This window comes from Homo sapiens, chromosome 2, assembly GCF_000001405.40.
Source record: "Homo sapiens chromosome 2, GRCh38.p14 Primary Assembly".
NCBI classification, from domain to species: Eukaryota; Metazoa; Chordata; class Mammalia; order Primates; family Hominidae; genus Homo; species Homo sapiens.
In genome coordinates this window covers 96,339,851-96,366,112 of record NC_000002.12, presented here as the reverse complement: position 1 = coordinate 96,366,112, position 26,262 = coordinate 96,339,851, and the positions used below count along the sequence as shown (strand labels likewise).

General features: G+C 44.5%; 1 protein-coding gene across 8 annotated transcripts in view; it reads right to left on the bottom strand.

The window, feature by feature from the left end:
* Nucleotides 1-26,262, bottom strand: part of NCAPH (non-SMC condensin I complex subunit H) — a 41,326-nt gene that overhangs the window by 10,979 nt on the left and 4,085 nt on the right. For 2 of the 8 annotated variants that reach the window (XM_005263908.5, NM_015341.5), the window contains exons 2-14: nt 24,219-24,471; nt 23,973-24,063; nt 23,265-23,357; nt 22,809-22,947; nt 21,884-22,008; nt 14,093-14,282; nt 12,716-12,807; nt 11,725-11,930; nt 6,920-7,068; nt 5,864-5,970; nt 5,403-5,525; nt 1,522-1,632; nt 55-237 (exon numbers count right to left, since the gene is read on the bottom strand). In XM_005263908.5, coding sequence (XP_005263965.1) covers nt 55-237; nt 1,522-1,632; nt 5,403-5,525; nt 5,864-5,970; nt 6,920-7,068; nt 11,725-11,930; nt 12,716-12,807; nt 14,093-14,282; nt 21,884-22,008; nt 22,809-22,947; nt 23,265-23,357; nt 23,973-24,063; nt 24,219-24,471 — 1,862 coding nt within the window. The remainder of the gene's footprint in view (nt 1-54; nt 238-1,521; nt 1,633-5,402; nt 5,526-5,863; nt 5,971-6,919; nt 7,069-11,724; nt 11,931-12,715; nt 12,808-14,092; nt 14,283-21,883; nt 22,009-22,808; nt 22,948-23,264; nt 23,358-23,972; nt 24,064-24,218; nt 24,472-26,262) is intronic. The other 6 variants (XM_006712388.5, NM_001281710.2, XM_047443836.1 and 3 more) reach the window with 6 other exon arrangements.

Genomic DNA, 26,262 nt, shown 5'->3' with positions numbered 1-26,262 from the left:
ACAATTAAATAGATTTCAGGCAAACAATGTAATTCTCAGCTGTTTCATCCGTACCTTCTGAGGCTCAGCTACCAAGTTTGACTCCCCATATGTTGTGATGTCTAATCCTTGGGCTTCTGGAGTGTCACCATTCTGTTGTGCTGTCTTAGGTGGATGGCAAGGATAAGGTGAGAGGTCAGAGTTCCCAACAGGTCCCACAAATAAGTCATCCAAATCTTCATCATCACTGTCAGCAGCCTGGGCAAGAAACAGCTCTTCGAGTTTGGTGGACGCTGCAGAGGAGCTCAGAAACACCCTTGAAATAGACTCCATGTTTACAAAGCAAGAAGAGACCATCTGATGGTTCACTCAGTGAGTTACACTACGATGAACTTCTAGGTGCCTCTAGTTATCATCCTGTTTCACGTAAACCCTATTAGAGAGGTGTCTGTTATCAACCTAAGACCTTTTGAGCGGGAGTTAAAAGGAATTCGATAACCATAATTGCCACTATGTCCCCCCTTCAGCTTCTAACAAATTTAGGATTTCATTTTACAGAAACATTCCTCAAATACCGGAGATATGACCTGAACATATCACCCAAGGAAAGCACAGGAGATTCCTGGGGCCATCTGGTCAGTAGCAGGCATACCACCCAGAAGCAGGTGAGAAAGTCATTTTTGCGATCACATCCAGAGTGAATGTATCAGTATCTTCGGGCAGGGGGTGGGGTGGGGGGACACAGGTCAGGAATCAGTCCTTAAATAGGCTCCCTGGGTGATTTGTATGTAAGTTAAAGTTTGAGAAGCACTAGTCAAGAGGTCAGTCTGGATTTTCACTAAAATATAACAGCCTAACTCTCTTCCTAAGTAAGAAAATAAGGTGAATACATTTTTTTCCAGTTCGTTCCCCCCTTTCCACATACAGGGACACAGATGAAGCCTATTTTTCCAGTTTCTGTTACCTGTATTAGCCATCTCATCAGTAGACTCAGAGAAGGGATATGGAAATTATTTAGTCTAAACCGTGATCTAAAGATGGGGGGTGGCTTGTACAAGTTCACAGCAAGCTTGCAATATGAGAACTGCATTCACAGCTAGAAATCTGGTCATCTGAGATACACCCCGAAGACTTATTTTTTGCCACACCAGATCACATATGGTGTGATCTGGTTGTCTACCTGGCCAAAATATTAGCTCATAAGAGGACAAAGTGTTTATATTCCTTTGAAATCCCACAACAGCCAAGATTAGTACTTTGTAGCAGAGGCTAAACACCCATCCACATGTCGACGCATTCACTTGAGTGTGGCCATTTGCTTCCTGCATGTAGGATGTGAGGTAAGGCAGGCCAAGGTGAGGCTGTTTCCTTGACTCTGCTCAGCTCCCTGCACTGGGTGGAAGGCAGACCCTTTACCCAGAAAACCTCCACTGGATTCAAAATTGCCAACAGTCTCCCACCATATAAAATGGGGACATGAGAAGCAGAGAAAAACGACTCCCTGGCTTAGAAGAGAGGACAGAGCCCCTTTCCCCCCTTTACCTGTAATCCAGGGCAAAAGTTGGAGGTGTCGTTAGGGTTGTTGTAATCATAGTCTTCAATTTCTTCATAATGCTCAGTCTCTACCCTATGGCCCTGGGCCATCTTAAGTAACTAAAGGAAAGAATAAATGCAGAAAGCTATTTTGTTAAAAGCTACTGAACTAGGTTAGAGAAGTAAATCTTAATTCCTATGCCCAATCTCCTCCTAGAATTATACAATTTTAGAGTCAGAAGGGCCCTCACAAGTCATCTAAGTCTAACAGACTTTTCCACTATACAGTGCAAACCTGGAGTAGCAGGGCTCAGCATCTCTACCAATCCCAAATAAACCAGAGCAGCTCTATTTCTGTGTGACTGGCAATTAGGCCTTCTGCACAGTTTTACCTGAAAAAGGGTTCCTTCACTAAAAACAAAAGTTGGAAAATCTACCCTCCAGCTTTCTGAAAGTCACCTTGTTGCACTTGAACAATTTTGACAGAAAACCCATTACCAGCCAGGCACGGTGACTCACACCTGTAATCCCAGCATTTTGAGAGGCTGAGGTGGGAGAACTGCTTGAGCCTAGGAATTTTGAGACTAGCGTTGGGCAACACAGTGAGACCCCATCTCTACAAAAAAAGATGGCATGGTGCTGTGTGCCTGTGGTCTCAGCTACTCAGGAGGCTGAGGCAGGAGGATCATTTGAGCCCAGGGGTTGAGGCTGCACTGAGCCATACTCATACCACTGCACTCCAGCCTGAGACCCTGTCTTTAAAAAAAAAAAGGAAAACCCATTACCTTAATTAACAGCCTGTCTCATTCCTGAATGGAAACCACTGTTCCCTACATGGCAACAAGGAGAGACATCCAGCTCTTCCCTCTAATTACATCCATCATCCTCATTCTGTATTCCAGAGCCTCGTGGAATGAGGCTCCTCTTTTACGAGTGCCTATGGATCACAGTCTTTCAAATATTTGCAGGTCCTTCCTTAGACCAGTGATTTCTACTTGATATATAAATCTCTGAAGTAGGAGAAATGTGACTGGAGATGTGCACAGTTTACAAGAGCACACTGAATATTTTAATATAATTCTGTGCCTCAAAAACAACTCAAATAAACCCACAATGTGCTTGTAACAAATCCAAAACTACTACTAAACAATAAATACTTGAATTAAGAAACGCCCCATTTTCTTCCACTGTTCTTCATATGACACAACTTCTAACTGCATCTTCATTTAGAATACTCTCCTCTGGGCACACTCTCAGGTGTCCCTAGCCAAATGTCCAGTGTTTAATACAGGCACTTCCAGTCACACAAATTTAAAAGTTATGCTTATACTATGCTGGAGTCTATTAAGTGTGCAACAGTATATGTCTAAAAAACAATTTACATACCTTAATTAAAAATATTTCATTGCTAAAAAATTATAATGATCATATCAGCCTTCAGTGAGTTGTAATATTTTTGCTGTTAAAGGGTCTTGCCTCAATGTTGATGGCTACTGACTGTCAGGGTGGGTGGTGGTTGCTGAAGGATGGGGTGGCTGCGACAATTTCTTAAAATAAGACAACAATGAAGTTTGCTACATCAATCAACTCTTCCTGTCACTAAAGATTTCTCTGAAGCATACAATGCTGTTTGATAGCATTTTATCCATAGCGGAGCTTCTTTCAAATTCAAAGTCAATCTTTTCAAACACTGCCACTGCTATATCAACTAAGACTATGTAACATTCTAAATCTTTTTTTTTTATCATTTCAACAATGTTCACAGCATCTTCACCAGGAGTAAATTCCATCTCAAGAAAATGTTCTTTGCTCATCCATAGGAAACAACTTCTCATCCATTCAAGTTTTATCAGGATATTGTACCAATGTAGTCACATCATCAGGCTCCATTTCTCATTCTGGTTCTCTTGCTATTTCTACCACATCTGCATACCACATCTGCAATGACTTCCTCCACTGAAGTCTTTTTGAGACAGAGTCTTGCTCTGTCACCCAGGCTGGAGTGCAGTGTACTGTAATCTCAGTTCACTGCAACCTCCACCTCTTGGGTTCCAGTGATTCTCGTGCCTCACCCTCCTGAGTAGCCAGGACTATAGGCCTGCACTACCATGTCTGGCTAATTTTTGTATTTTTAGTAGAGACGGGGTTTCGCCATGTTGCTCAGGCTGGTCTCAAACTCCTAGCCTCAAGCGATCCACCCACCTCGGCCTCCCAAAGTGCTAGGATTACAGGCGTGAGCCATCGTGACTGGCCTCCACTGAAGTCTTGAACCCCTCAAAATCATCCATAAGAGTCAGAATCAACTTCTTCCAAACTCCTGTTAATGTTGATATTTTGACCCCCTCTCATGAATCACAATTTTTTTTTTGTTTTGCTTTTCTGAGATGAGGCCTCACTTTGTCCCCCAGGCTGGAGTGCACTGGCATGATCATAGCTTACTATAGCCTCAGGCCCCCAAGTAGCTAGGACTGAAAAAAAAAGAGTATTTCTATTGAAGTAAACAATATTGATCAGAAAGAAAAACATATCTTGGTTAGTTTATAAAAACAGAATGTGAGGCCAGGTGTAACGGCTCACGCCTGTAATCCCTGTACTTTGGGAGGCTGAGGCAGGATGACTGCTTGAATCCAGGAGTTCAAAGTTACAATGAGCTCCAATTACACCACTGGACTATGGCCTGGGCAACAGAGCAAGACCCTGTCTCTAAAAAAAAATACAAAAAAACAAATAGAATGTGTAATATCAGTCAATTCAGGGAAAAAAAAAAAAAAATATATATATATATATATATATACACATATATATACATATATATGTGTATATATATATATGTATATATATATATATATATCATTAAAATCTTGTGGAAAAACAGGCAAAATAAAGAGGAAAGTATAAAGTCTTAATACACTCCATGAGAGTAGGAGAACCAGTAATGCAAGTAAGCAGAGGATGTGAATGGAATGGTTTACACGAACCACTGCTTACCCTGTCAGCAGGGACATGTGAGAAGAGCCCCAGGCAAATGAAGGAGGCAGTAATCAGGGTGCAACACCAGGTAATTCAGAAGGCTCCATGTGACAATCTCAGAAGGAGCCCCAGCAGCCTGTAGAGCCCTAGGAGACTTCCTGAGGATGTGAGCCCGTGTGTCACCTTGGGCTCGCTTCGACTTGGATCATGAGTAAGGCAACCTCACTGTATAAAGCAATTGGTGAGTAAATCCACAACTTCAATGAGAAAGCCAAGGAATCAGGTGGGCACAGTGGCTCACACCTATAATCCTGGCACTTTGGGAGGCTGAGGTGGGTGGATCGCCTGAGGTCAGGAGTTCGAGACTAGCCTGGCCAACATAGTGAAACCCTGTCCCTGTTAAAACTACAAAAAATTCACTGGGTATGGTGGCAGGCACCTGTAATCCCAGTTACTTGGGAGGCTGAGGCAGGAGAATTGCTTGAACCCAGGAGGGAGAGGTTGCAGTGAGCCAAGACTGCACCATTGCACTCCAGCCTAGGGCAACAAGAGCGAAACTCTGTCAAAAAAAAAAAAAAAAAAAAAAAAAAGGAGAAAGCAAAGGAATCAAGAAATAACTTAAAAACTGTTGAAACTTCACCAAAAAACTACACTCACTGCCCCCCTGAATTTCAGCATGGAGGCTTCAGTATCCAGCATTCTTGCCAGGTAAGGTATTTCCAAGTGTTTACTGTGTGTCCATCATATAAGCCTTTCCTTTTAGCTTTCTTTGCCTTATCTATTTGATTTCCTGGCAACACGCTTTGGCTAACACATACCACTCCTCACATTCTCCCTTTTCCTCAAAGGCACTGCCTAACTGTCATACTATCAGCCACTTGATACCTTGTGTGCTTAAAGGAACCAAGAAATAGGCTTACCCTGGTGCCTGGTTTGAGGTGAAGCTGGACCAGAGTGTCAACATTGTAGTTGAAATCTGTAGGAAGGGTGGTAGCTCTCCAATTCTGGTTCTCCAAAGTGGACTTGGTCAGAATAGTAGCAGCCTATTAATTTTTTTAAAAAAAGTGTTTTAGGCATTTTAACAGTGGGCAAAACATCTTACTTTTTTTAAAGCAGTCTGGGAAGGGTTTGGGCAGCATGAGTCTACCATCAGTCTCACAGTTCTATGTAAAAAAGTGATTTTGCTAGCATTATTCTTTTTATTCTAAATTTGATTCTTTCTGCCACTGAGTTTAGGACTATTTCTTAATAGTGCGTTTAAGGAACAAGGAAGAATGAAACCATCTGTTTGCTCTAACAGTTAAATTTATACGGAATTTTAAAAAATCACATCTGAAAGGGAAAAACGAGTAAGCACAATCCTAATAAATTCAGTACAAACCTTTGTTTTTCTAAAATATACATCAAAGTCAATATCATCTTCAAAGTCAATTTCAAAATCTTTTTTTGTACTCTTCTTTTTGTTTTCTGATTGGGAAGGAGCATCTTCTGCAGAGTGAACACAGACGTCAGCACTTCACTTCTGTGGCCTAAACTATTTACTCATTTCACAAGATCTGCTGACAGCCTTATCAAGGCTTATCAAAACCACAAGGCAGCATTGTGTCTGAGCATCACAACAGTAGGAGTGCTCAATCACACACCCTCTTTTCATCCTAAACTTATAATTTGTGTTTTGGCTAAGAAAACACATCAGAAACATATGCTTGGCCAGGTGCAGTGGCTCATGCCTGTAATCCCAACACTTTGGGAGGCTAAGGCAGGAGGATCACTTGAGGCCAGGAGTCGAGACCAGCCTAGGCAACAAAGCGGGATCCCATCACTATGGAAAATTTAAAAATTAACTGAGCATGCTGGCATGCCCTTGCAGTCCCAGCTATTCAGAAGGCTGAGGTGGGAGGACGCTTAAGCCCAGGAGGTCAAGGCTGCAGTAAGCCATGATTCACCACTGCACTTCAGCCTGGGTGACAGTGTGAGACCCTGTCTCAAAAGCAAAACAAAACATAAAACAACAGATGCTTATCCCTTTCTTTCAAAGAGACAATGCAAAACACATAAGGTCAGCACAGCCCTTTGGAGTTCTACAGAATGCCAACATGTGCAGTAGCTCCTGTGTGCCCTCTAGTGCCCGGGGGTCATGCCCACCCGTGACCACTGAGTGAAGTCATGTGGATACTAGGGAGCAGTGTGAGGCTGGGAGTCCAGTTCTCCTGACTCCAGTACTCACTCTCCTCACTCAGAGGCTTCCATTTTCACTGTCCCTTCATCCCAGGCCAGGCAAACTGACCAACCAGGAGGCTGGCTCATCTGTATGCTTCCTCGGCTTATTAAGAGACACAACAGGGCTGTGACTGGCATTTCTTTTCCTTGGCTAACTGCTGACTGGCTGGTCATCTACACTACTTCTTTTCTTAAAATTCCACCTAGAATTACATACGTTTGCGTCGAGGCCTAAAGCGCCAGTGATCCGGGCCAGCCCACATCGACATGGTCCGAGGACTGAAATAAGAATATTCTCCAGGTTTCATAGACAGAAGGGGGCACATGGTCCTGATGTCTCCATCCCCAAGGGAAATCATTTCTTCCCTGTAACACACATATTTGTACATGTACAATACATATATTATAATGCTGTATTTACATATGAAGCATATGTCCGCAAATGAGCTGCATTTCTGTGAGTCCAATACAAATAACTTCATTATTAATAATTCCTTTTACTTCTCAAGTACTTTTCCTTCCCTTAATTTTATAACAATATAATCATATCTATACAAGTACTCTGGAAGTTTCAAAGTGCACCATAAAATGCTAGTCTACCTAATTTGAGAGACAAGATGACAAAAGTAAAGAGAATTCTTTTGGCTGGGCGCGGTGGCTCACGCTTGTAATCCCAGCACTTTGGGAGGCCAAGGCGGGCGGATCACAAGGTCAGGAGATCGAGACCACCCTGGCTAACACAGTGAAACGCCGTCTCTACTAAAAATACAAAAAATTAGCCGGGCGTGGTGGCGGGCGCCTGTAGTCCCAGCTACTCCGGAGGCTGAGGCAGGAGAATGGCGTGAACCCAGGAGGTGGAGCTTGCAGTGAGCCGAGATCGCGCCACTGCACTCCAGCCTGGGTGACAGAGTGAGACTCCGTCTCAAAAAAAAAAGAGAATTCCTTTGGGTAAGAATCTACAGCTAGTAAAATGCCGGAGCTGGGAGCTGGACACAAGTCCCTTAATCCCAGCCTCGGGGTCTTTCCACACACATGCTTCTTGCCACACAAGATGACAAATCCCTCATTCGTCACCATCCTTCTGTAAATGAGGGCTCCAAAAGATACCGCTATAGTTCCTACTAAAAGTGAAAAAACATGTTTGTCTAATTATTTAGTTCCTCTAACGCTTTGGGGGCTCCCCTTATAATCTGTTAGGTCATCCAGCTTTATTCTTTGCCGTGTGTAAAGTGTCTAAGTGGTCAGTGCAGCATGGCAGTTTCAGTTTGGTTTTTCACTCTTTCTACATTTTTAAAAAATAGAGATGGGGTCTCACTATGTTGGTCAGGTTGGTCTTGAACTCCTAGCCTCAAGCAATCCTCCTGCCTCAGCCTCCCAAAGTGCTAGGATTACAGGCGTGTCAGGATTATACCGTGCCCAGCCATTTTTCACTCTTTCCACAAGGTACAAGCTTTCTCCTAAAGGGCTCCAACATGTCAGAAAGGACGCTGGTGCTGCTGTACTGCCCTCTGAAGGTAAGGTAACCAAGAAGTTTCAGAAGAGTGGCCTTGTATTTGTATTGAGCCTACATATAGTTCCCGTTTATATAAGCCATATGGAATAAGCTAAAAAGGCTTTTAAAAGGGGATTTTGTCTTTACATACAGAATTTTAAAAAACAAAAACAGGAGACTACATTTGTGCATTTATTGTGTAATTAAAACCTAATTTAAAAAAATAAAATACACAATAAAAAAATCACATTTCTAGTCTGTATGGCCTAGTGCTGTAACAGAATCTGATACCTAGCATGTTATTAAGTAACAAATGCACTGTGCTGTGAACTCCAGAGGTAGAAGGAAGAAGTTTCAACAGCATCCCCACTCCATTCTGATGGATATTCTTCCATTAGGAAGAGTGGCTCCCATTCCCAATTCTGGTGATGGAGCTGGACAGAGGCTCTGCAGGATTTTTGAACTGTAGTAATTCAATAATTCTTTCAACATACAATGCTATGTCGCAGGCATCCTACCAGTCCCAATTTCACCACTCAACAACTAAATGAATCCACCTATAGTCCAAAATAGTCTATCCATTTTTCAAGGCTGCCCACTTCAAACATCTCCAGTCCCTCCAGGAAAACTCTGTATTTCTTCTATCCCCTCCCCATAATATCACAGGGTCCCTCCTTCAATTTAGCCATGGTTCAATCCACTGTCCTAACACTGGCAAGATAAGGTCTCCTCCCAGCTGGCTCAGCACATCAGGCAGCATGCAGCCGAATGTTTCATTCTCGCATGCGTGAAGTAGGCTGTGTTCTGGGCTTTGACCTCCGACTAGGTCATTAACCACAGTAACTGCCTTATGTAAGCATGCTGGTACTACAGAAGGGTCGGCCAGAGAACACTTGGCTCCAAGTGTTCTTGGGCTGCTGTTGCTGCTGCACAGAGAGGGAGCTCACTCTTAGACATCAAGCACTTTTGCAGACCAGTCCTTACCAATGCATGTGCACAAAGAGCTCCACCTTTTACGCTTGCAGTTGTCAATGTGCTGCCATGCAGAGACCAATAACGTGAGGCATCTACACAACACTGGTATTTATCACTCAGCATTGCCCCACCCCACCTTCATCCAGAGGCCTCCGAAGACCTCTCAGTAGAGTACAGTGGTTTTCAGCCCTGGGTGCAGAACACAATCACCCGGGGATGGTAACGTGATGTCTGGCCCCCTCTACCCACTGAGATGCTCAGGTGGTGTGGACTGGAGCCTGCCATCCAAAGCTCACTATATGTGGCCAGGACTGGTCAAAGGTGCTGGGTGGCAACCAGCTCCACCCCATTAAACTCTCTGAGCCTGTTTCCTCATCTGTAAAATGAGGATAATAGGACCTAATTATAGGGTTGCTGCAATAAAATAATTAATTTTAGATATTATGTAAATTATGTGAAATAACACACATAAGGCACCTGGCGCAGCATCTTGCACAAAGAATAAGGAGCTCAATAAATATCAGATATTGTTATTATCAACTGGTCCCAACCTTGCATTTTATGGATGAGAAAACAAAGACCGCAAAAGGTGATAACATTGCCCCACATCTCAGGGCTAGTAACGGCAAGATCAGATCTACTCCAGATCAAACACTCACTGAATTCCCAGGAAAGGCCAGCGATGTGGCAAGGGGAGGGGATTTAAGGATGGGTAAAATCTGAGACTAGAACTGCAGCCTCCCACGCCTAATGTACTAGGTAGGATAGAGTCTAAGATTTTGTGCTGTTTGGAATAGGGGAGAGAAGTGGAGACATTTGTTCAAAATAACCAGCAGAAAACATCTTCCAGAAACCAAATAAAAGTCATGGAAGCCCTTTGTTATTGTCAGTCCCTCAGATGTCACCTCACTGTTTAAGGAAAGTGATAGCTTTTCTCTGACATTTGAAAATGATGTTTTTAAGAGTTCATCCCATCAACCTATCATTTCTCCCTTCTTAGAAGACAGGATGGCCAGGCGCAGTGGCTCACGCCTGTAATCCCAGCACTTTGGGAGGCCGAGGTGGGAGGATCATGAGGTCAGGAGATCGAGACCATCCTGGCTAACATGGTGAAACCCCGTCTCTAATAAAAAAATTAGTCAGGCATGGTGGCGGGCGCCTGTAGTCCCAGCTACTCGGGAGGCTAAGGCAGGAGAATGGTGTGAACCCGGGAGGCAGAGCTTGCAGTGAGCAGAGATCGCGCTGCTGCACTCCAGCCTGGGCGACAGACCGAGACTCTGTCTCAAAAAAAAAAAAAACAAAAAAACATAAAAACAAAAAAGACACGATGAGAATGGGGCAAAATTGCAGCCATGTGAACAGTACAATTCCGGAGAGCAGGGTGCTACTGAGCCTGGATGGGCAGTGGCGCCTTGATAATGTCTTTAAAAGACATTATCAGCCTAATCGTTTCCCACAAGGGCAGACAAAATGAGCTTAGGAAAGACATCCGAGCAGGGTCTTGAAGAGATTTTTGTCATAGCGGGAAATTATACTAAGCAACTTCTAAGGTTTTACTCAAAACCAGCTTGGCTGTCCCCAATCCCAGTTCTGCAAAGCTCTGTTACAGACATAGGAGTTAACAGAGGGACTGTTCACTCTAATCTCATGAAATCTCCTACCCCCAGGCCCATTGAAGACCTTTACAGGACCATGACATTAAAGTGTTGTGAGACCCTGCTTCCAAATCATATTTAGAATTAAAACAATACTAACCTATTAAGTACATAAAGGCCAACCAAGTTCTGATTATTTTTATGATGTTTACTAGGGTAATCAAAAATTTAATTACTAAACCAATTCTTCTTCTTCTCCTCCAAATATTCTCAATTTATTGGTTGGTTTTGTTTTCCCTGCCTTGCTCGTCCCCAGTCTGCCCATCTGGTAACCCAACACTGCCTAACCCCCACTTGCTTACCTTTCAGGTGGTAAATTGGTGGCTTAGAGTCACCAACAGCCACACTATAAGCAATGTGTACAAAGGGAGCATGCTCTCTGCTACCAAAATGCACGTGGTAACAACAGCCACATTGACGTAATTACTAGATCCCAGGTGCTTTGTTCCAAACGCTTTACATTGTTCTAATCCTTACAAACTCTTGCAATGTCAGTTTTATAACCAAAGTGGCTAAGCCGACATTCAAAGCCAGGTGTGATTCCTCTGAGTCAGAAAGGCTCAGCTGAAAAGCTCAGCTGATGTGTATGACACAGCACACCAGCCCAGCCAATCAGACATCAAATTCAATCACCCCAGCAGGAAATCTGTTAAGAACTGATAGTGCCCAGGCATGGTGGCTCACACCTGAAATCCTGGCACCTTGGGAGGCCAAAGCAGGAGGATTGCTTGAGCCCCAAGAGTTCAAGACCAGCCTGGGCAATGCAGTGAGATGCCCGTCTCTATTTTTGGGGGGGGAAAAAAAAAGAAAGAAAAATTTTTTAATTAGAAAAAAAAGAAAAAGAAAAAAGAACCAATGGAAAACTCCTATAGAAACACTTTCGGACTCTGAGAGCCTTACTGGCAGCTCTGAACCTGGCAGGGCTCCTTCCAGCTCCTGAACTCTTCATGATCCCCAACTGCGGTGTGGTCAGGTTCATCGTTGGCATCAAAGTCATCCCCCAGGGACCCATCGGGGAAGTCTCCACAGTCACTCTCGTCAACTTCAGCATTGATGTCAAATACCTGGTCATTCTTCTTAAACTTGTCTACCAGGGCCGACACAGACTGGAGGGACAAAAGAGGGTTCTGTAATTCTCATTCCTATAACCACCCCAAATCACCACTGGAGGGACAGCCTTCTCACCCTTAAATTTCAGTTTCCAGCCTCCTCCTTCCCCTGAGCCACCCTTCCCTTTCCCATCCCCTGCCTGCCTGGGCCAAGACTCTCACGATAGTACAGTGAGGGGGAAGTTTATATTGTGCAGCACAGGAGGAAGCTGCATTGTTGTCAGGCACATTTTGTAAAACATGAAACAGGATTCTGTACCCATTAACTACATGTTTGCAGAAAACAGTTTTCCATGGAGATCATTTATTTTGGAAATTGTAGTAAGTAGGCTAAAGGGGGCCATGCTAAAAATACACAGAGGAAAGCTCTACACATGACAATTTCTCAGGAAACTCTGTGCCAAGGGATTCAACCCCAAAGAGCAGGAAATTCCTCAAGCTTGACGGCAGCCTAAGAGATTCGAGGCCACTGGGATAACCACATTCAAGAGTAAATCTAATTATAAATGTTCACTGATTAATGCCAGGGCCGCCTTACCCTAGGATAGCAGAAGAGAGGACATAAAGCTGATCCTGGAACTCACTTACCTCTAGAATAGTCCTGCTGGGGTTCACAACCCTACCCTCCTCCCTCAGGGTTTTTGTCCCTACAGAAGTGCCAAAGGAAATATTTTCTGTACTCCTGGCTAAATAAAGATGATGCCACAGTTTTGGTTCCCATTGGGCAGGACCACTCTTGAGCCAACTAACTGAAACCATGAGCCACTAAAACTTGACCACACCTCATTATGTGTTTCACTGTCCCACTGTGTAAACTGGAACCCGGCCAGGGAAGGGCAGATCTGGCGATCTTCTGCACACTGCTGCAAGGGCGCTGGAGAGGATAGCAAGATCACAAAGAGAGATTAGAAGGGGGTCAAGTGCATTCCTTACTCCCTTCAGAATGATACTGAGTGGGACGAGAGATGAGAGGCACAGTTACCTCACTGTCCTCCAGCAAAGGCTCAAGTATCATCAGTGGCTGGCTAGCTGCCAGTCTGTGTCCCTGCCTCTTCTGGGAGCGAGCAGATGCGTCGGCCACACCCACGCTGGAGTGAGGCTATGCACTGTCATCGCACAAATTAGTAAAATACTAGAGGAGAAACCTAAAGCACAGACATTCGATTCTGAAATGAATTCTGTGACCTATGCTATAGCTGGGAAATCAAACGCTTCGTCTTAAAAATACACCAAGTACATAGGCAATCATGTAATGGTACTTTAACTTATTTTTAGTCCCAAACTAGAGAAGACTTACTTCAGGGGATTAGAGCCCCAAATGAGAGCACAAACTTGGAAAATAGATCGTTAGCACAAAAACTATACTAAACAAAATTGAGGCAAGAATAGAAATGACAAGAATGGGAGCTAACAACTGCCCAGCCTGGAGGGGAAGTATTAATTTCATTCAACACATAAAAATGACCGCACTTGAGATGAAGATCAGCGAGAGTACGAACACTGCATTGGAAATGTGCAGGAGGGGGCAGCTCTTCTGGGACCCCAAGTGTAGCTACTGCACTGCACGCACCTGGCCTCCCTACCTGCTGGCACCTCATTACAACATCCCAAGGAGAACCCCCAACTCAGGCGTGGAGGCGTATATGGGAGGGATGCTAAAATCTCTGTCAAGCCAGTATAGGGGACTGATAATAGGAGAGATCAGTTCTTAGACTGCTGCAGAGGAGTCTCAAAACAATTCACAACGCTCTCTTCTCCTCAGGGCCCCCTGGATGGGGAGCAAATAAAAACAAAGCCTCTCTGGCTAGGCAAAGGTCTCTCTAAGTCCCCTTCCCAAGAACAAACTGACACTCCAGGAGGAACCCAGGTCTCCCAAATGTGACTTGGAGAGCTGACTGCAAACAGTGGGCACCTAAGGTACCGGGCACATCAAGACCAAGAGGCGATGGTTTACCGTTTTAGACTCCACGCCGCAGAGAAGACAAAAGTTAGTGGGTTGCAAGGCACTCCCAAAAGGATACACAATTTGGCATTCCAGAGGAAACTTCTGGGTAATTTAAGCAACATAAGAGCATGATGGGCTTATTGTACCCCATGGTTATGTAAAAAAATTCCCCAATGACTGAAATGCTCTGGTGAAAGGCATCACTTGTACTTACCTTTTAAATCTGTCATTTCTACACAACCTAACTCTGGCAACTCGAGAGGTTCTCCCGTGGAGAGAGTCTGGACATCAGAGGGAAACAGCAGTTCACTTCTGTAGTCCTGGCAGTGGAGAGTGGACAGAAACACCCCTGCTGTGCTGCACTCATCAAATGAGGCTGCTGTCTTCTGAAACATGGGATCAATCTGAACACAGAGAGAGAAGAAACTGAAGATTTACGGCATGTAGCCAAGGGAAAGATAAATTCTCATGCATTTGGCCCCACTCATTAGCAGGTATATACACTGGACTGAAATATCTCCACTCATGGTCAAAAGTGGTTTGTTTTTGTTTTTTTTTTTTTTTTTTGAGATGGAGTCTTGCTCTGCCGCCCAGGCTGGAGTGCAGTGGCATGATATTGGCTCACTGCAACCTCTGCCTCCCAGGCTCAAGCGATTCTTGGGCCTCAGCCTCCAGAGTAGTGGGACTACAGGTACGCACCACTACATCTGGCTAATTTTTGTATTTTTAGTAGAGACGGGGTTTCATCATATTAGCCAGGCTGGTCTTGAACTCCTGACCTTAAGTGATCCACCCACCTTGGCCTCCCAAAGTACTGGGACTACAGTTGTGAACCACCGCACCCAACAAAAGTGGCTTTCTAATTGAGCAGATAAAATCCCGGTTCAAAAGAAAGGCTGGTTATAGTCAGGAGATAAACATATACTGCTCCAGAAGACAGTATGTGGTGGCAAGTGTACACTGTGTCAAATGGCTTTTTTATAATACATCTGGACGTGTATCCTTGCTGCTGGTCTCCTTCTATAAGTCACTAACAAATGCCATTGGCTTAAAAAGCCTGTATGATAGGGCTAGTCACAGGGCTCTATTGTTCCTCTGAACAGAAATATCTTCTAAAGTTTGGAAGAACATACCCAAGATATCCAGGCAAAGGACAGAGTCAGTAGGGCTAGCTGGCTGGGTGAAACCTGAGAGAGGTTTTAAGAAGGTCCCTAAGGCTGGGTCAGGAGCAGGAATGGCATGGCCATATGACACCAAGCCCAAAGGCAAAAACAGGCACTGGGCATAAGAACAGGGACAGGGTGAATCACACACATGTGCAGCAAGAGGCTAGAAGCCCCCTGGGACTCTGCAGGTGACCTTGAGACAGGAGATACGGTTGGGTATGGGGTTCACAGGTCTTCCTGATGCCTCAGAACGTGGCTACTATGGAGAGAGAGGGGCTTGGATAGGACAACACAGATGTGCCTCCCTGGCTCTTCCCTGGTCCCCTTAGCTCGGAGTCCAAGCTCATCAGAACTGAGGTTCAGCTCCTGCCGTACCATAAACCCATCTCACCATTCTTTGTCCCAGAGCAGCACATTCGTCATCTCCACATTCTCCCATCCCTTTAGCCCTCAGGCAGCCACACGTCCAAGTCGGTTTCCTCCCAGTGCATCTTTCCATCCCCAGAGCCAGCAATATGACCCTTATCTCTGGCCTCTCCCAATTCCCATCCTAAAAATACCTATTTTTTTTCCCCATCCTAAAAATACCTAAAAATAGGTTACTCCTATTCCATTCTCAAATGCTATCCAGAGTAATGGTTTCCCACCTGGAGCCCTGCACCCCTAAAAGTCTTGTGTAGGTAGTTAACGGAACTATACTCAGCACTTCAGAGCCAACATGGAAATTGTACACTGACCCACATTAAAGCTGAAAGCACTATGATAATGTTCCTCACTTGTGTCTAGAATTATATCATGTGTGACAACAGAGGGATTTATATCCCCAAGCAATTCAATGGGACAATGAATTATGGCTGACTGTGTAGTTTGAGTAGATGAAACCTTCTGAAACAAGGGTCCACAGTAAGGAAGGACCACAATAAAAGGCCTTACAATAGACTGAATGATAAAGTTCAAGATCTCTTTAGGTGATTTCTAAAAGCAAATCCTTGGCGCTAGCCAAACTCGTATACTCTCCAGCTTCCTAATCAGAACCTTCCTGTGCTATGGCTTTTGCTTTTACACCTCTGCTTAGAATCACCTCCCTGGCAATGCCTACCTGACAAGACACCTAGCCTTCCTTCATGGCCCAGTTCAAGTCTTGCTTCTTCCATAAACTCTGAGCCCTACCAACTCTGGTTTCCTATAGCATGTGCCTTGACCTTCCTTGCATTCATCTACCTGTATTCTCCTGGTATAAAGAACTGAAGCATAATCATGTTTGAATCCTCTATGACAGCAAATGTTCTGCAAATACCAAAGAGCTGTGTCCAAAAGAGATCGGCTCATATATAAAGAAGTGCTCTCAACTGGTCTAGACACACCCACACATTTGCTTTCTGATCTCCAAGAAAATGAGAGTTTACACCTGTAATCCCAAGTGTACTGGGAGGCCGAGGCAGGCAGATCACTTGAGGTCAGGAGTTTGAGACCAGCATGGCCAACATGGCAAAATCCCATCTCTACTAAAAATAAAAAAATTAGCCAGGCATGGTGGTGCACGTCTGTAATCCCAGCTACTTGGGTGGCTGAAGCAGGAGAATTGCTTGAACCCAGGAGGTGGAGGTTGCAGTGAGCCAAGACTGAACCATTGCAATCCAGCCTGGGCAACAGAGTGAGACTCCATCTTAAAAAAAAAAAAGAAAAGAAAATGAGAGTTTAATAAACAGTTGAAGCTTTAAATTCTGTTTGTGACAATCCATCCCTCTTTTTTATCTTCCATACTCTTGATGATTACAAGTTTACAGCAACTTACAGAGCAAAAAAAGCTTTCCAGGATTGGAGTATTTGGCATTTCTTCATGACAGTATTCATTTCACTTAGCATAAACATACCACAGCCTGTCAATATCAGGCTTAGCGAAATCAGCCCTACTTGCTGCTCTCTCCTTTTCTCTTTATAATCATGGGAAAAGCTAATGCAGGCCTGGGAAATAGTCCGTTTTCCTCAGGCTCCCAGAATTGAGATTACCTGGTAAGAAAGAAGATGACTACAAAACAGAATTTCCAAACATCCTGTACTTAATAATCCGATTGATTTGAACATTTCACTATAGAATCAAAAGCAAGAATGACAGTAAGGGCCAGGAGCGGTGGCTCGCGTCTGTAATCCCAGCACTTTGGGAGCCCCAGTGGGTAGATCACTTGAGATCAGGAGTTCGAGACTAGCCTGGTCACCATGGTGAAACCCCATCTCTACTAAAAATACAAAAAAATTTAGCTGGGCGTGGTGGTGCGTCCCAGCTACATGGGAGGCTGAGGCACGAGAATCGTTTGAACCGGGGAGACAGAGGTTGCGGTGAGCCAACATCGTGCCACTGCACTCCAGCCTGGGCCACAGAGCGAGACCCTGTCTCAAAAAAAAATAATAATAATAATGACAGTAAGATAAATTCCAGATTATCTGGGAAGGGGAAAAAACAAGGAGAATTGGGGGAGGGAAGGGAACGTAGAAAGGGCTTTCTGGATCCCTATGACTAATAAATAATACCACTTCAGATGTGTGTAGCATATCACCATGTTTAAAGACCTTGACATAGGCCAGGTGCGGTGACTCACACCTGTAATCCCAGCACTTTGGGAGGCCGAGGCGGGCGGCGGATCACAAGGTCAGAAGATCAAGACCATCCTGGCTAACACGGTGAAACCCCGTCTCTCCTAAAAATACAAAAAATTAGCCGGGCATGGTGGCGGGTGCCTGTAGTCCCAGCTACTCTGGAGGCTGAGGCAGGAGAATGGCGTGAACCCGGGAGGTGGAGCTTGCAGTGAGCTGAGATAGCGCCACTGCACTCCAGCCTGGGCGACGGAGCAAGACTCCATCTCAAAAAAAAAAAAAAAAAGAGAGAGACCTTGGCATAAATGGATTCACTAATATAAAACCGAGATGTGGTTGGGGCCAGCGTTCCCCATTTTTTATAGTATATGACAGTGAGATTCACAACTCTTCCCAGGTCAACAGCTAAGCACCGCACCCGGCCTACGTCAAGGTCTTTAAACATGGTGATATGCTACACACATCACCCACGGTTAATGCTGACACACACATAAGGAAAAAATACAACTCCCTCTCCCCACAAGAGCCAGCTGCTCTCGCCTCTCCCCTCCCTCTTAGGCCTCATTCTCAGTGACTCTCCTTCCTCTGGCCCCTCCCTGCCCGTGCACAGCAATGCCCTGCTCACCTCACCACTCAGAGTGGGCATGGCAAGGCCCCACCTCCCTAGCCCCTTGCACACTCAGTCTTACCACTACCATCTGCTGTAAGAACACTGGCATTCATCTCACTGTTGCCCTTTATCTGGCTTATTTATTAATTACACAAAAAGACCCAAGACACCCACAATTCTACATTTCTTGGACTCTAAGATCTATAGAACTCTGATGCCACCTCCCACCCCACCACAGCCCCCATCTCCCACTCCTCCTCAAAAACTGGTATTTCCTCAGGGCCCTCTAGACTCAGTCATCAGCAAAATTCTCTCTATCGCCCACTTAGTTCCTGAGGATTATCTCCACCTACTTGTTCTAATTTATGTATTCTCAATGGTGTTCTCATTTCACTCTCAAGGGGTGAAAACTGTTTCCTAGAGGCTAGGTGGGAAAAATCTTAGATATTACAATAATGTTTGCCTATCCAAATCTCTACCCTATCTGACAAAATCTTATTCCTTAGTATTTCATTTTAAGGGGAAGGAGTAGGCACAAAATGTCTAAATGGGTCTGAAGGGGCAAAAGTGATAAAAAAAAAAAAAAAACAGGCTGAGGGGCACTGCTCCAATTGAGACATGGTGCCAGCCTGAGGATAGGCTTCCCCTGCGGGCCTCTGCAGTGGCTGCTTTCTCTTCACAGCCGTCAAACCAGTGGCCTACAGGTGGGCCAGGTGATTGCAGCATCCAACTATCCCCCCTCCCAATTTCTAATGCCCCAGCTCTGAGTACAACATCAGCTTTTGCCACTGTCTGCCCATCTGTGTTGCAGTCATCTTCCAATCCCCAGGTCACAACCTGTCCTTCTTCTCAGAAGATCTTAGTATTAGTTTATGGCTCATTACTAGTCTCCAAATTTATTCCTGGTGTAGCTCTTATTGATTTCAATATCCATATGTTGATCCATCCAGTACACTGTCTCTTGGTTGATATCCTCTCCTTCAATGGTCTCCATCCTAAGAAACCCAGGACTCCAAGACAGCCAAGTAAGACACCAAGACAGCCTAGTAAGACCCCTACCCCGCCTCCGCCATTTGCTCCCTTGCCTGCTCTGAGTTGACTCATTAACCATGACTGCAACCTCTCTATATCCTCAATTCTAGGGCCCCTCTCTGGCAACCACCTCCTACATTTCCAGCTCACCCCTTCTTGTCCCCAACACCACGAAGTCTTTGACCCCACCAGGCCTACAATCTACTGATTATATTACTTTCCACTGCCCTCATTCCCCTGTCTTCCGAGGTAAAATTCCCTAAGCAGTGAATGCAACCACACCTTTACACATGCACTCACCTCCTCCAGTGTCCCTTTCCAGCTGTGTCCATTCACTCAGCTCAACAGGATCCCATATTAAACCCAACTTTCTGCCTACTCCATGATTGTACCCACACAGCTATTCACGGCTGGACAGAGACACAAAATAATGCTGACTGACCTCACTTTATATCCATCTGCCACCACCCTCAAGTAGACCCTAAGTTGTCTAACAGTCACACCATATCTCCCTAGTTCATGTACTCGCCCACCTCCTAGAGGACTCTTTCCTACCCTTTCCCCTCCTCACGCCCCCAGTGCCTTCCTTCCCTATCCTCACTGTAAGCTGATGACCTGGCTTCCTGTTTTAAGACAGTATCCAGAAGGCTCCCCCATGAGTGCACCCAAACAACACCCGTCAGCCGAGCCCAACCTGTGCTGTCCATTCCCTACCTCTCACCTGCGCAAGGACATCAGCCTGGCAATTCTCCTTTCTGCTGCATCATCAATAATCCCTTCTCCAAACTAGACTGCTGTCATCAACAAAATATGCTGTCATTTCTCCCATTCAAAAACAAAATCAAAACTCTTGGCCTTACTTTTCCCTCCATTTGCTATCCCAGTACTCTGCTCCAAATTATAGCAAAACTCTTCAAAACAACTACCTATATTCAAGTGTTTTCAGTCCTTTCCTCCCATTTATCATAAAAAAAATTTCAGATCCACAAGAATGTTGAAACAGTAATACGAATCTCTGTAAAGCTTCTACTCAGATTACCCAATGGGTAGCATTTTGCATATTTGTTTTCATTTACTCTCTCTATATATATCTCTCTCCCCACCCCAGAGTCTTTTGTCAGTAATCCTCATGACACTTCACCATGTCCCAGTTACTAAGCTACTGCCTCTCAGCTCTAAGCCTACCCTCTCTCCTTGGCTGTGATGCAGGGTCTGGGACATTCAGCTTTGCCGGCAGCTCCCTGTTAGGGTTTACCAAGTAGGGGCACTAGAGGGAGACTACAGGCTCCAAGGGAGAGAAGGCACTGCTCCTTTCTGCAGGTTGCATGTTAGGAGAGCGTCACCCAGCAGTGTTCCACCCCGGCTGCAGCAGAGCCCACCTGTAGCAGCAGCTGAACCCCACTGGCAGATTTTCACACTCACAGAACCAGCCTTATTGAGACACCAGCACCAGCCAGCATGCCCCCGTTCCAGGGTCTGGGTCCTGGGCACACAATCCCCTCCCTCAAACTCAGGGACACTAGCACCAGCCAAGCCCTTCCCTGGAGGTCTGAGCTTGAGTTTCAGAGGGGCCCCCACTCCAAGCTCATTAGTGGCCTCAGGTTGCCACATTTGGCATGGTTGATCATTCCCCACTCCCTGAAATATTTTCTCATTTGGATACCACGCTCTTCTGGTTTTCCTCCTACCTACTGGATGTTTTTTCAGCTCTCTGAACTCCTAAGATTGGGGAAAAGGAACTCCCAGTCTTTTTCCCATATACATTCATTTCCTTGGTGACCAATTCTAGTTTTGTGACCTTAATTACCATTTATGAATGTTGTGGAGGTAAGAGAGAAAAGTAATCTAGTCTACTGCTAGTGGGAGAGTAAATTAGTACCTTTTTTTGAGGGCAACTTAAAATCCATGTCTCAGAATTTTCTTACAGATATTCTCCCATACGAGTGCAAAGATAATATGTATTAGAATGTTCACTGAAACAATGTTTTTAATGGCAGAATTAAAAAATAAAATTGTAGTAACACCTGTTTGCTTTAAATTAACTGTGCTAATTATAGATGAGGCCTCCAGTACCATTTGTTTAAGCCGATTCCTTAGGATTTGCTAGATAGATGATTTAAAGCTAGGATTCTGGAGTTAGACCACTTAGCTTCAACTTCTAGCTCACTTACTAGATGTGTCGTTTCAGGCAAGTCATTGTGCCTCAGTTACCTCTTCCTAAAATGATACAAGAATGTTGTGAGGATTAAATGAGTTAATACAGGTTACAGGCTTAAGGAAGCACATGGTGCTCACTATGTGTACATTAAATGTTAGCTAACATAACCACTGCTACATTTACTAGGAAATAAAATTAATTTTTTATCAATTAGATTTCTCAGCAATTTGCAGTCTCTTCCTTTTGAATCATTCTGAAACACTGAGGGACTTACTTTTAGTCTTTACTGTCAAGCTAAAAGATGATAATGCAGAGATATCAGTTGAATATTTTACTCCCTTGAGGCTTAAACAGGCACATACCAGCAAGGCAGCCTTAGCCCTGCCAAGTCTCAGCCCCTAAGGTTCTGAATTAGTCAGAAACCACACTGCGCATACAGTTCCTCACCTCACACTTCCGATCTGCTTCGGAGACATTGAGGTTGTTTATGTTCTGCTCAATAGTTCTGTGTAAGTGCTTCTTCTTTGGCTTTACAGCCTTTTTGGTTGTTCCCATTTCAGTAGCACTTCCATCTAAAAGGAGAAATACAATTGCGTACTGCAAGGGCTGCTTTGAAGCATGTGATGAACTTACTAACTCAAGTTCTTCAAAACCTGTCGTAATTTAAACATGTGAGGCCAGGTGTGGTGGCTCATGCCTGTAATCCTAGCGCTTTGGGAGGCTGAGGCAGACGGATCACTTGAGCTCAGGAGTTCAAGACCAGCCTGGCCAACATGACAAAACCCCGTCTCTACAAAACAGTACAAAAATTAGCCAGACATGGAGATGCACACCTGTAGTCCCAGCTACTTGGGGTGGTGAGGCAGGAGGATCACTTGAACTTGGGAGCCAGAGGCTGCCGTGAGCCCAGATCACACCACTGCATACCAGCCTGGGTGACAAAGTGAGCCTCGTTTCAAAAAAAAAAAAAACAAAACTCCAACCCCAACCAAACAAAAAACACGCAGTTCTCTCAAAACATCAGGCATATTTAATCTGCAACTTATGGAGAAACCAAACTATTAGATTTGGCTTCTCACGCAAGTCCATTTCCAAAGACTCCCAGATCAGAAGTTCCTTAGTTGGTGATGTTTACACAACCTGGCCTAAATAAAATATAAACGCTTTTATAAGGCCCTTCTCTTTTTCAAGGAAATATAATTTTAGTGTTTGAGTATCTTCTCACGTAAGACCATATATGGTTCTAAAAATGCCCTGTCTTCAATAAAATGAGATCACTTATTTCTTGTGACCTTCTTCTAGTATATTACTCAAGTAACTACCTGGTATGCCCTAAAAAGAGCCACTTAAATCCAGATCCCTACCCACCTACCAGCAACATGGCCTTCTACTTCTTCCAAAGACGGTGCATCTTTGCCCAGCCCCCCAAGGACTCTGTATACATCGGCATGGACGGCATCCACGCGCACAGCATAGATCTTGGTGCTGGCATCCAGAGTACCCGCAGCCACCTAGTCAAACAATCAGAGCTGCACTCACAAAGATACACAAAAAACAACTTCTGAACAGGTAAAACACAGCAAGCTTCACAAAATATTTACTTGCCCCAAGGAAGCAATGACAAAGATCCCTCTATGACTGATAGGGAATAAACAGAATATATATTCTCTCTGTATTTCATCAGTTTAGGAAAAGAAAGTAAATTAACTAACATAACATCTAAATGAGAAGTCTCTCATGTATTTGCAGCATTCAACTGTGTTATGCCAAGTAGTAGAAATCATCATCATTTAATTCAGATGCAAGAGAAAGTGGACATCCTTCTTACTTTAAAGTTGGTTGGTTCGGTGTCTTTCTGTTTAAGAATCTCTGACATAAAATCAATCAAGTGCAAACCAAAAGCATTCTTGGTAGTGATTTTCTGAAAACAGAAAATTGCAGAAAGGATTGTTATTTATAGCCTAGGCTCATGTAAATAATGCTGCTTTTAACAGAGGAAGCTAAGTCTTTACATAGGAATACCCACATATTGTCACTGATCTCTCTTCCCAAAAACACTTGTCAAGAGCCAAATCCTCACAGGCATGTCCTCATGTTCAAGGCTAGGGAATGACGGCACAAAATTCCTGAATGCTCAGTGTGTGCAGGCCCTGCTCTAAGCACTGCACACAAAGGGACTCACCCTCCAAACAACTTCATGAGGCAGGCACTACCCCCATTCTCCAGAGGACACGGAAGCAAAATGGTTGGGTGGCTCACACACAGCTTAGAAGCATGTAGCCTCCAACTCAGGCTAGCTCCAGAACTCTACTATTAACTCATGCGCCATGCTGCCTTTCTAGATACACAGCAGATAGCTGGCAGCCTCTCAGGAGGTGCACCACGGGTCCAGAGTAAACAGTAAAACCACCAGCACTAAGATGACTCACCAGAGAATTATCATCATTGATTGTGCATTATCTACAGAAACAAGATAGCTGGATTTCCCCTGTGATCAAGGGATTACGTCTTCAATAATAAACCAGCAAATACTCACATTTTCAGTGGACAGTTTGATACAGGTGGAGTAATGTTCCGTAATCTGCGTGTTTGTAAACTTGGGGATAGTAGCTGAAATGTCAATACTCCTAAATGGAAAACAAAAACAAACAACTCTGGCAAGAATCCATGATAGTTTAAATTTTCAAAACCTAGACCCATGAAGTTTTGTGGAGATGCCTGGACCTACGCAGCCCATATCAAGGCGGCTGCCTCAAGGAGAAACAGCCCAGGAGCACCTCACCTGCTGGAGGGGGAGGCCAATAAGCGAGGTGAGTCAGTGCTGAACTGCAGATCAAAGACCCTCGAGCGCCTCCGCTGCAGCCGCTCCTTCTCATCGTCATTCTGAGGAAAGTCTTCGAGGACTGGGGTGCCAGGAATATTGAGAGGCGCCTTCCTGGGCAGGGGCATCGGGAACACACGCTCTGAAGGAGAGGAGGCACTGTGGGGGTGTCCTCGCGTCTCTGAAGAAGAGTTATTCATTGTGGCTGGCAGTGCTGGAACAAAATTCTTGCTCAAGAAACCTTCAAGAGAACATTTCCTATATCCAAAGAAGTCTTGAGCCTGTCACAGGGGTGGAGGTTCACCACACACTGTCCACTGAGATCTTCTCCAACTCTAATACTTAATGGCTAGAACCTCTAGAGTTTGGGTTTCTTGGAGGTGCAGGGGGGAGGCCATAGGTTTCTGATGCTTCTTTGTTAATCTGGGACAAATATCCACTCTGCAGCTATGTGAATTTAAGTACTGCATGGATATAAAAATGGATGATATAATATTGCTGCCTCTGATAAGCTCACAAACTGGACAACAGACATATATAACCCATCATGCCAGGTAAGACAAGGAAGAGACAGATGCTGAGACAAGGGTGAGGTATGGGCTATAGAGTTAGACAGGCTGGGCTCTAATTCCAGCTCCTCCATATCTTGGCAAACAGACAGAGGAAAAACAACATAAACATGTAAAACAAATAGAATGTTCCAAAGAATCATCCAGATTATTTGCTAACTACAAAAGGAAAAATGTCTTTTACAATAAAAACTCTACCAGTCACCACATTAACCAGTCAAATGTAGCCTCACTAAAAATCAATCTGAAAGTTACTCATCTCTTCATGTGACACAATGTGAAATTCATAGCATCACCCAGGAAATATTTCCACCAAACATGTTTAACCTAAATTTAACCAAAGAACTTTAGATCTTTAACTTCTGGTTTATAAGAAATACAAGGGGTCAAGGAACAAGTTAAATGATATCACAAGGAAACACTCTAGAATGCAGGACAGTTTTCAAGAAAACTAGCTTAGTCTCTTAACTTAAAAGATAACAACCAAAAAAAAAAAAAAAAAAGGCCGGACATGGTAGCTCATCCCTGTAATCCTACCCTTTGGGTGGCTGAGGTGGGAGGATCCCTTGAGGCCAGGAGTTAAGAAACAGCCTGGGCTACCGGGCACGGTGGCTCATGCCTGTAATCCCAACACTTTGGGAGGCCGAGGTGGGTGGATCACCTGAGGTCAGGAGTTAGAGACCAGCTGGCCAATATGGTGAAACCCCGTCTCCACTAAAAATACAAAAGTTAGCTGGACGTGGGGGCGGGCGCCTGTAATCCCAGCTACTCAGGAGGCTGAGGCAAGATAATCGCTTGAACCCGGGAGACAGAGGTTGCACTGAGCCAAGACTGTGCCATTGCACTCCAACCCAGGCAACAAGAGTGAAACTCCGTCTCAAAAAAAAAAAAAAAAAAAAAAAAGATGCTTATTAGTATTAGTCATCCTACTGGGTTAGATAGGTGGGTATCTAATCCCAGAATTTAGGGAAAGTTCCAGATGAGATACACACACTGGGAAGTCATCAGCATGTAGAGGGTATTCAGAGCCATAATACTGGATGAGATCACCAAATAACTGAGTAGAGGAACACTTTAAAGGTTTAAAGAGCAGGAAAGCACTTTGGGAGGCTGAGGCAGGCAGATCACATGAGGTCAGGAGTTCGAGACCAGCCCGGTCAACATGGTGAAACCCTGTCTCTACTAAAAATACAAAAATTAGCTGAACGTGGTGGTGGGCGCCTGTAATCTCAGCTACTTGGGAGGCTGAGGCAGGAAAATCGCTTGAACCCGGGAGACGGAGGCTGTAGTGAGCCGAGATGGCGCCACTACACTCTAGCCGGGGCAACAGAGTGAGACTCTGTCACAAAAAATAAATAAATAAGTAAAAATAAAGAAGGAGAAACCAGCAAAAGAGCTGGGAAATGTGCAACTAGTGAGGTGGGAGAAAATCAGGA